Raw genomic sequence first — 11,995 nt, forward strand, 5'->3', positions numbered from 1 at the left:
TCCCACACAATAATAGTGGGAGTCTTCAAAATCCCACTGGCAGTATTAGACAGGGAGAAAATTAACAAATATATTCAGAACCTGAACTCAAGTCTTGATCAAATGAACCTAATAGACATTGACAGAACTCTCCATCCAAAAACAATGGATTATGCATTCTTCTCATTGCCATATGGCAATGTAAATTATTGCCATACTGCTATGTAAATTAGTCCAACCATTGTTGGAAGCAGTGTGGTCATCCCTCAAAAAAATAAAAAGAGAACTAGCATTAAACCCAGCAATCCTATTACTGGGTATATACCCAAATGAATATAAATTGCTCTACCATAAGGACACATGCACACATATGTTCATTGCAGCACTATTCACAATAGCAAAGACATGAAATCAAACTAAATGCCCACCAATGATAGACTGGATAAAGAAAATGTGGTAAATATACACCTTGAAATACTGTGAAGCCATATAAAATAATGAAATCATGTCCTTTGCAGGAACATAGATGGAGCTGGAGGCCATTATCCTTACCTAACCAACCCAGGAACAGAAAACCAAATACCATATGTTCTCACTTATAAGTGGGAGCTAACTAATGAGAACTAATGGCCACAGCGAGGGGAAAAACAGACACTAAGACCTACTTGAGGGAGGAGGGAGAGGTTCAGAAACAAACAAACAAACAAACATTCAGGCTCTCTGCTCAGTACCCGGGTGACAATATGGTCTGTGCACCAAACCCACATAATACAAATTTGTCTGTAATAAGAAATCTGCACATGTACCCCTGAACCTAAAATAAAAGTTAAATGAATAAATAAAGTATCTCTTTCTTCAACTACTTCCTTTCTGTAATTCTTTCCCTAACCTCAAGTTGCAAAGAGAGAAGTGCTGACTAGTTACTACAAATCATGAATGGAAGCCTAGACCCATCACACCCCACTGTCTCTACATACACTTAACTGGCTGAGACTATAAGGAGTACCCAACCACTTATTACTACCAGATGAGGACGAAGTCAGAGCTCTGCTCACAGTGTCCATGTTTCCTGCAGTGCCTGGTATGTGAGAAGGGGCATTTTTCTTTTTGTACTGTGTTTGGCTGGAATAGGATGGGTACTGCTCAAAGAGTACTCTCCTATTGGCCCACTCCTTTTCACGTCCTTTGGCTAGAGAAAGTAGGATTTTTCTGGAGCTTCTTGGCCTGTGCCTATTGGCATTTCCAAGTTGTGTTCTTCTCTAGTGATCAAGATGGGGTATATGAGAGACAAAAAACAAAACAAAACAAAAACCAGAAAAAGGGAACAGACCACTGTCATTTTTCAAGTTCCAAAATTCCTAGGCAGTACACCTTCTTTTCTCTCATGTAAGAGTCTTCCAGTGTTTTATGCATTTTGTCCAGGATTTTAACATTCAGATAGTGGAAGAAATACAGTGAAATGTGTCTACTTCATCGTGATTGAACGGCTGAACCAAGATAAAAGCAAATCTTAACAGAATACAGATTTTTTAAAGACACATTACATACAACGATAAAAAATATAGAAATTACACCAGATGAATTATCAGAAATATGCAAGCCAGAAAACAATGGAGTGACATCATTAAAATGTTGAGAAAGAAACATACCTGTCAATTTAAAAATCCTAAGCCCAGCAAAAATCTCAAAAATGAATGAGAAATGATGACCTTTTATTTCAGCAAAACAAAAATTGAGGGAATTTATTAACAGCGGCACAGCATGATGAGAAATGATGAAGAAAATCGCCGGGCACGTGGCTCACACCTGCACTTTGGGAGGCCGAGGCGGGTGGATCACAAGGTCAAGAGATTGAGACCATCCTGGCCAACATGGTGAAATCCCGTCTCTACTAAAAATACAAAAATTAGCCAGGTGTGGTGGTGGGTGCCTGTAGTCCCAGCTACTCGGGAGGCTGAGGCAGGAGAATTGCTTGAACCCGGGAGGCAGAGGTTGCAGTGAGCTGAGATTGTGCCCCTGCACTGCAGCCTGATGACAGAGTAAGAATCCATCTAAAAAAAAATGATGAAGAAAATCTTCAGGCAGAAGGAATATGTTAGCTAGCAGAAAACTGGGTTTACACAAAGAAGTGAACAACTCCATTAATGTATAAAATAAGGATAAATATAAAAGATATCTTTAATTTTATTTTAATTGCTCTAAAAGATTGTTATTCATCTATAAACAAATATAGTAGCAATGCGAGTTTATAGGATATATAAAATAAAATAAAAATTTCTGGTTTCAACTCCAATATGTAGAGAACTTAGAAGTTACCACTACTCCCCTTACAAGAACAAAATAAGTGAATAAATTGAAAACCACTGATTTTTATTGAATCCATCAGAGAACCTCTTTGTAGGGCATACTGCCACACCAACATCTGGAGAGACAGGTGAATGCAGAGAATCACAGATGAGATGAATTTACCTAGAACAGGAACTACTTGAGCTGCAAACTGATAAGAACACTTATATGGTAACTTTGATGAATTGCTGAAGGCAGAATGTAGATTAGCATGAGAGTGATGGATTTTGGGGGGTGACAGAGTATTGGGGATCCTCCACATTTTCATAGGTTTTGTTTCCAGGAATCCCATCAGTTTCTCACAGTGATAAGCCAAGAAAGAGCTCTCACATTTCTAGAAGTGGGAGGGAAAATGTAACCATTTTGAGATATGCCCAGAGCATTCTCCATAACAAAGTCTTATTCACCAGGGGAAAAGACTTTATTAGAGCCTATTCAGCTTGGAGGAAATTACCCAACTCCAGTCCTCTCTAGCCCTCTTGTCTCATGTGAGGGAGGAAAATGGGTTATAGCCCAGAGACACAGGTTCATTAAAGACTGAAATTTAATCATAGGATTATAGAATGTGTTTCTTCCTTCCACACTTCACTACCACATCAATGGGATTCCACTATAACAGTGGATCACAGCTGAAGAAGCTTTAAATGGAAACCCAAAGACAACAATGGAAAAAGAACAACAACACAAAAAGGACTCTAAAGGAAATTGAAACCATGTACAGGAAACATTAAACATAGCCAACACCTAGCCAGATTAGCATAAACTCTCATAACAAAGGCCTTTTTACCTTAGTTCCTATTAATTGATACATCTTGTCTGGATTTTTTTTTAACTTGCAAGTAATGCTTAATGGCCAGAAACAAACATAATCTGAAGAAACAAAGTAAGCATAAGACCGGACTCAGATATGTCACAGAATTTAGAATTATCAGAGAATTTAATATCACTATGATTAATATATGAATGAATCTAATGGAAGAAAGACAAAATTTAAGAGTAAATAGATAATATAAGCAGAGACAGGTAATCTAAAAAAGAATCAAATGGAAATGCAATAAATAAATTTAAAAAACACTGCAACAGAAATACAGAATGCCTGTTATGAGCTCACCAGTAGACTGGATATGGCCAAGAAAAGAATCAGTGAACTTGAAGATATGCCAATACAACTTCCCAAGCAGAAAGGCAAAGAGAAAAAATAACAATAATTAAAAAAAAACCAGAACAACTCATCCAAGAAATGTGAGACAACTTCAAAAGGCATGATACATGCATAACTGGAATACCAGAAGGAAAAGAAAATAAGAACCAAGCAGAATAAATATTTGAAGTAATAATGACTGAGAATTTTCCAAAATTAGTGTCAGGCATCAAATCACAGATTCAGGAAGTTCAAAGAACACAAAACAGTATAAATACCAAAAATCTTTACCTAGGAATATCATGTTAAAACTACAGGAAACCAAAGACAAGGAGAAGATCTTGAAGAAAGCCAGAGAAGGAAAATACAACTTACCTAAAAAGAAACAATGATGAAAATTACATCAGACTTCCCATCAGAAACTATGCAAGCAAGAAGAAAGTGGAGTGAAATATTTAAAGTGTTGAAAGAAAAATCTTCACTAATATACCATTATATCTGGCAAAATTATCTTTCAAAAGTGAAAGAGAAATAAAAACATTCTCATACAAATAAAAACTGGGGAAATTAATCAACAGCAGACTTTCCCTGCAAGAAATGTTTTTAAAAAGTAGTTCAGAGAGAAGGAAAATGATATAGGAAAAAAACTTTAATCTACATGAAGAAAGAAAGAGCATTGAAGAAGAAATAAATGAATTGATCAAATAAATAGCTATTGTAAATAAATTAATCAAATAAATAACTGTTTAAACTGAAAATAGTAACAATTACTGTGTGACTATAGTATATGGATACATGAAATGAATGACAGCAATTTTTTAAGGGATGAATGGGAACAGAAAAAGAGGAAAATAAAAAAGAAACAAAGAACAAATGTAATGAACAGACAGTAGTTACAAACACAGTGGATATTAATACAACTATATAGCTCATCACTTTAAATGTGGTTTAAATAAACCAATTAAAAGTCAAAAATTGTTGGAGTGGACAAAACAAACAAACAAATAAGACCCAATCATACGTTCTCTAAAAGTTTCCCAATTTAAATACAAAGACAGGGTTGGACATGGTGACTCACATCAGTAATGCCAGCAGAAAATGTAATCCAAATTGTCCTATACCGATTAAAGTAATTAAATTTCTTTTTAAAAATCTTTGAACAAAGTAAACTTCACACAGCGATGACTTTAATTGCAAATTCTACTACACATTTAAGGAACAAATAAAACCAGTTCTACAGAAACTCAGAAAAACAAAAAAAGAGACACTTAACAAACTCATTTTATTAGTTGAGCATTACACTGATTAAAAAAATACGTTTGAAAAACTTAAAAAAACTATAAAACAATATCCCTCATGAATATAGATATAAATTCTTGTCCTAAAATATTACCTAACTGAATCTATCAATATATAAAAAGGCCAATATATTATAATGAATTAGGGTCTATATCAGGAATGCTGGTTCAAATTTTCAACTTAAAAAATTTCATTTTGTTTCCAATTGGAAAAAATCTTCAATTTTTAAAACAAAAATCAATTAATGTAATTAAACTTATCAACTGATTAAACAAGAAACAAAACTTGGTTATCTTCATAGCTACAAAAACATTTAACAAAATGCATTATCTATCAATAATAGAAACTTCCAACAAATTAAAAATTAAAAGAAACTTTCTTAAACTGATTAAAATCATCTATTACAAAACTCTACAGCTAACATCATACTTAATAAAGTGAAAGAATCAATGCTTTACATCTGCTAGTGGGAGAATAAATAAGGATATTCACTGTCACTATTAATCATTGTACTGAAGATTCTATCCAGTACAAGATGATAAAAAAAAGAAGCAAAAACCACACAGATTAAAAATGAAAAACGAAAACTGTCTCTATTATCAGACAATATGGAAAATCTACACATTCACTACTAGAACTAATATGTCAGTTTAGCAAGGTGGCAAGGTATGGATCAATACACAAAAATCTGTTCTATTTATGCATACCTTCAATGAACAGTTAAAAATTGAACTTCACAAAAAGAGTGTAATTTATAGTACCATCAATAACATGAAATACATAGGTATAAATCTAACAAAATAGGTGGTGGGTTTGTGTGCTAAAAACTACAAAACACTGATGAAAGAAATCAAAAGGGAACTAAATAAATAGATATATAGTGTTCGTGAATTAGAGGACTCAGTGTCATTAAGATGTAAATACACTCCTAATTTATCTATAGATTCAAGACAATGCCAATCAAAATCCCACCAAATTGTCTTTTTTTTTTGCATAGAAATTCACAAGCTGATCTAAAATTTATATGGAAAACAATGGATCTAGAATAGCCAAAACATTTTTGAATAAGAACTAAATTCAGAAGATTCACACTATCTGATTTCAAGACTTATAAAACTCTAGTGATCAACAGAATAGGGTGTTATTTTTAAAAAAAGGATTGGCGCATTATTGATTATTGGAATAAAATAGAGATTCAAGGAATACACCAAGACATACAGGTTCAACAGATTTTTGACAGATTTCAAGGCAATTCAATGGGGAAAGCAGTCATTTCAGCCAATGGTACTGGAACAACTGAATATCATGTAGAGAGAGGCGGAAAAAAAAACTTTTACCTATACCTTGCACCACATACAACATTAACTCAAAATGGATTGCAGACCTAAACGTAAGACCTAAAACGATACAATGCCTAGAATAAAAGATTAGCTAAAACCTTTGGGCTCTTGAGTTTGGTAAGGGTCTTTTTACATACTATACCAAAGCACCATCTGTAAGATTAAAATTTAATTAATTTAACCTCATTAAAATTTGAAAATTTGGCTGTTCAAAAGGGATAGTATTACCTGACCTCAAGAATTACTATAAATCTACAATAATCAACATAGCATTTGTGTAAAGGTAGATAAATAGATTCATGAAACAACGTAATGCAAGAGTTTGCAAACTTTTCTTAAAGAGCCATATAATCAATCTTTAGGCTTTGTGACCAGGAAACAAAATTGAGGCTATTAGGTAGGTATTTTACATAATCATTTGAAATGTAGCCATTTAAAAATGTAAAAGGCATTTTTAGTCCACGGGCATTAAAAATAGAGGCAGCTGATAAGACCTGGTGGACAGGTCATAGTTTGCCAACCCCTGATATAGAAAGTCCAGAAATAAACCCACATAATATGGACAACTGATGTTTTATTTTTGTTTTTTATCTTTATAAAGATGCAAAGGCAATGCAGTGGAGAAAAGATAAACATTCTAACAAATGATATTGAGAGAGTTGGCTGACTGTTCATATGCAAAAATATGACCTTGAATCCACAGCTCACACATATGCAAAAATTAAAATGGATCATGGACCTAAAGGTAAAACTTAAAACTATACAACTACCAAAAGAAAAGATAGAAGAATATCTACATGATCTTGGATTAGACAAAATTTTCTTAGATACGACACCAAAAGCACAATTCATGAAAGAATACTCTAATAAATTATGTTCCATGAATTAAAAACATTTACTCTTTAGAAAATAGTTAAGAGAATGAGAAAACAAGCCACAGAGTGGAAGAAAATATTTGCGAAACATATATCTGACTTGTTTCCAGAATACCTAGAATACATAAACAACTCTAAAACTCAACAATAAGAAACAAGTGAGCCTAATAAAAAATGAACAAAATAATTTTACAGAAATTTTACCAATGATGATACATGGATGATAAATTAGAACATGAATAGATGTTCATCATTAGTCATAGTCAAAGTCATAATAAGATACCACTGCCAACCTATCAAAGTGACTGAAATTAAGAAGGTCATTTAAATCAAGTGTTGTCAATTAAGTGGAGGAACTGAAACTCACACAGGGCTGGTGGGGATTTTGAAAGAGTATGACAGTGTCTGAAAATGCTAAACATTCACCTCCCATGTAATCCAGCCATGACATAATTAGTTATTTACCCAAGACAAAAGAAATATATCCTTATACAAAGACTTGTACATGAATGTTCACAGTAGCTTTGTTTGTAATAACCTAAAAATGAAAGCCAAACCAAATGTTTATCAATTAGTGAATGGATAAATTGTAACATACCTATACAATGAAATAGTACTAAGCAGTAAAACAAAATGAATTATTGGTACATGGAATAACATTGATATATTGCAAAATAATCATGTTTAATGAAAAAAGGCAGAAAAGAGTGTGCACTATATAATTTAATTTACATAAAATTTCAGAAAATGCAAAGCAATCTATAGTGATAGTGTATATTTATAGCAGTGCAATCTATAGTAAATTGTGTAATCTATAGTAACAGAGGTTGCTTGGGGATGGGAGGGAAGGTAGGAGTAGGACAGCAGATAACAGTAGGAGGGATGGAGGAGTTAAAAAGAAGAATGAGACATTTTTGGAGATGAATATGTTCACTTTCTTTATTGTGATGATGTTTAATAGGTCTATACAGATATCAAAAGTTTTCAAATTGTTGAGTTAAATATGGCCACTTTACTGTATGTCACTTATACCTCAATGGAGTTGTTTTAAAAACCTGCTCTCCAAAACGCATGGCTAAACACATGAAAACACAAGTCACATATTGGGAGAAAATTTTGCAAAATGCAGATAATCACTTCCACTTCCACTAAGATAGAGTAGACTACTTTCTTCTATCCTTCCAATATGTGTAACTAAAAATCCTGGACATTATGTAGAAGACAAACATAAGAATACTCTGAAAGGTGGAAAGAAGGAGGCAGACCAGCTAAAGATCTTGGGACCTAAGGAACACCACCATAGTGAGTTCCCTGGGTTTTCTTTTTGCCTTATCTATTACATACTTGGAGATAAGGAAACTGGCAAGCTAGAAACTTGAGTTGAAGCAGACAAAAATAGCCATGACAAAAGCCTGCTCTCTCTAGCCAAGTACTAAAAAAGGAGCAACCTGGCAAGATGTGAAGCTTTTAGACAATAACTACTCTACTCCAACCAAACACCACACAAGAGTACTGTAACCCCACTGCTACCAATGTCAGTAAAGGCCGAGTGGGAGCCTACACTTCCACCTTGGTAAGGCTGTAATGAAGCACCAACATGACAACGGAGGTGGTGTCAGAAGAGACCAAACAAGAAGCCGGAACTTTCATGTTTGCCAGCTTGTAATGAATCCCCCCATCCCACCATGGTGTCAGTGGAGGCTAAAGGGCGGTCTAGACTTCCACTCTTGCCTGTTAATAACAAGGAATCTCTTTCTTTCCTCTACTGAGTTGGAGAACAAAGAGGCCTAGTGGAGAGTCAGGCCTTTCACATTGCCCACTACTAACAAGGTCAACTCAGCCCTGTTAGTGGAGACCACACAGGGAGTTGCTGTATGAATGTATTCAGGTTTAAACAGAAAATCCCTTGTCAGGGAAGAGTCGGAAAGATATCAAATTGTATGAAAAAACAATAATCTATAGATGTCAACATTTATTTTTCAGCTCTGTTGTTTGGTGAATACTCATTTAGGATTGTTAAATCTTCTTGGAGGATTGACCTTTTTATCATTAGGTAACTATCCCTTTCTGTCTCTATTAATGTTCTTTGCTCTGAAGTCTATTTAGTATTGTATAATGTTAATAGAGGTTGGGAAGAGAGTACAGGTAGAGAATGTGGGTGTGGATGTGTTACAGAAGGGCAACATAGAGATCCTTCTGTTGATAGAAATGTATTTTTACTGTATAAGTGTCAATATCCTAGTTGCTATACTGTACTATAGCTTTGCAACATATTATAATTATGGAGAATTGAGTAAAGAGACACATAGGATCTTTCTCTCTCTCTCTCTTTTTTTTTTTTTTTTGAGTCTTGCTCTGTTGCCCAGGCTGGAGTGCAGTGGTGTGATCTCAGCTCACTACAACCTCTGCCTCCCAGGTTCAAGTAATTCTCCTGCCTTAGCCTCCCAAGTAGCTGGGACGACGGGCATGCACCACTATGCCTGGGTAATTTTTATTTTTATTTTTTATTTTTTTAGTACAGACAGGTTTCACCTTGTTGGTCAGGCCGGTTTCAAACTCCAGACCTCAAATGATCCACCCTTCTCGGACTCCCAAAGTGCTGGGATTACAGACGTGAGCCACTGTACTCGGCCTAATTATTTTTAGTAGAGACAGGGTCTTGCTGTGTTTCCCAGGCTGTTCTTGAACTCCTGGGCTCAAGCAATACTCCAGCCTCAGCCTCCCACTTAGCTGGGACTCCAGATATGTGCCACTATGAATAACTAGTTTTTAAATTGTTTGTGGCAACAGGATTCCACTATATTGCCCAGGCTGGTCTCAAACTCCTGGCCTCAAGTGATTCTCCTACCTTGGCCTCCCAAAGTGCTGGGATTACAGGCATGAACCACTGTGTCCAGCCTAACTTTAATTTTTTGATTCACCTTTCCAACTAAGGGTTTTACCCTATTGGTGTCCCAGTTTTATGCAGTGGTATCCTATATGACTTTAGTCTTATGGAGGCCTGAAGGTTTGCTTCTTGCAAACGTCCTGTGAGGCCACCAGATAAAAAATTCTGAAATTCCTCACTTGATTATCTTGTTCACTACTTTTTGTCTTCTGAATTTTTTTGATACCTTTCTACCTTAACTTTAAAATTTTCAGCTTGCAAATTTAGGAATTTCTTTTTCAGGAAAGTGAAAGTTTGTTTTTAATTATTTTATCTAGAGTTTTTGTGTTTTTTTTCCCTTAAAAGTATGTGTATATTTTTTTCTTTTTCTTTTCCTTTTTTCTTTCTTCTGTCATACTGCCAGAAATAAGAGTATTTCCACAGTACTATTAAGTAGTATATATTTAGTCTCATACAGTATGAGGGGGAGATTGAGAACCAAGAATCATGAATAGTACCTAGGTTCTATTCTTTACTAGCTATGTGATCCCCAATACTTTTCTCTTTTTCCTGTGTGTCATCTTTTCCTGGTAAAGAATGAAGGGCATGGGCTAAATGATATCTAAATCCTCATCGCTTAAAACTTGTACTGTTTCAATATTGTGGTATATTAGAACAACCACTGGCCTGGGAATCTGGAGTCCTGACTTGGTTCTTCTGCTTTCTAGCTTTCAGCTTTTAGACATGCCACTTTACTTTCTGAGTCATCATTTATTTGTCCACACACAAGAAAACAAAAGTGATAGTATCTACTTGACAAGATTGTTGTCAACATTAAATTAGACATTATTTATAAAACTTCTTGGCATGTAAGAGGTGACGATTAAGTCTTAGGAAGATCCACGTATACAGAATTCAAGGATCTCTCAGGTCCATTTACTGTTCCAAAAATCTATGATGTCAACTAAAGTTAGTGCTTAAAAAAGAAACGTTTTGCTGCAATTCTGACATGCACTCTCTAGAGGTCTCCATTACCAAACAAATCAATGTATGTTTTACTGTTGGTTATGGAAGTTCAGAAATGAAATCTATCAATCTCTTGTAAGATTCAACATTGTCCAAAGAGATTTTTTTTTTTGCGCTTTCTACATCGTATGATTTTTCTGGTCATATTTGCTCTCTTCTCTTTCAGGTTGCTGAAGAAGAATCTTACTCTAGGGCTCACTAGCAACTTTGGACTGGTGATGTATAAGACATTATATATTTCTGGGGTTTTTTTTTTGCTTTTTTTATTTACAAAAGGTGAATTTAGTTGTTTCTCTCTCATTCCCTTAGTTCAAAAATGATTAGCCCCAGATATTGCCCTATTCTTTTCCAAATTCTGGTTATACATCAAAATAAACAACCAAACAAAAACATAGGGTTAGGGGAGATTGGATGAAAGAAAGAAGAAGATGAAAGAAAGAAGAAAAAAACATTCAAAGGCAATGTTTTTCTTAACTGCTGTTCCCTTCAGTAAGATATATATTTCAGGCTGTGTCCACAGCACACACATATTTAACTAAAACAAACATTTGACAAAGCAATAGTTATCCTTACAGAGGGATATGACACTTTTATATTTCCTGTTCTAGTCTATCCTTTTTAATGGTGCTTTTGACACACTAATTAAGTCCATAAACCACGAAGGGATACCACCAATGGTTTGAAAATGATATCTTAAGGAGATGCAAAAATGTGAAAAGAGGGAGTTTCGTTTCATATGTAATACGTACTAACTGACCTAGACTTTGTGAAAGTGGTAAAAAAAATCACAGTGTGATTTCATTTCTATAAAGAATGCACATCCATATAGACTCCTTCAGGCTGGGTAGGAGGCAGTGCTGGGTTGTGCTTTCTTCTTTTTCTTTCTTTTTTTTTTTTTTTTTTTTTTTTTTGAGACGGAGTCTCACTGTGTCGCCCAAGCTGGAGTGCAGTGGTGCGATCTCGGCTCACTGCAACCTCCGCCTCCCGGGTTCACGCCATTCTCCTGCTTCAGCCTCCCCAGTAGCTGGGACTAAGGCACCCGCCACCACGCCCGGCTAATTTTTTGTATTTTTTAGTAGAGACGGGTTTCACCATGTTAGCCAGGATGGTCTCGAGCTCCTGA

General features: G+C 35.1%; 1 long non-coding RNA gene across 1 annotated transcript in view; it reads left to right on the forward strand.

Annotated features, from left to right (window-relative positions):
• Positions 1 to 11,758, forward strand: part of LOC105375409 (uncharacterized) — a 59,585-nt gene extending 47,827 nt beyond the window's left edge. The window contains exons 3-4 of the long non-coding RNA XR_927774.3: positions 8,964 to 9,033; positions 11,039 to 11,758. This is a non-coding gene — a long non-coding RNA (uncharacterized LOC105375409). The remainder of the gene's footprint in view (positions 1 to 8,963; positions 9,034 to 11,038) is intronic.
• Positions 11,759 to 11,995: the final 237 nt, after the last annotated feature.

The sequence above is a fragment of the Homo sapiens genome, chromosome 7, assembly GCF_000001405.40.
Source record: "Homo sapiens chromosome 7, GRCh38.p14 Primary Assembly".
NCBI lineage: Eukaryota > Metazoa > Chordata > Mammalia > Primates > Hominidae > Homo > Homo sapiens.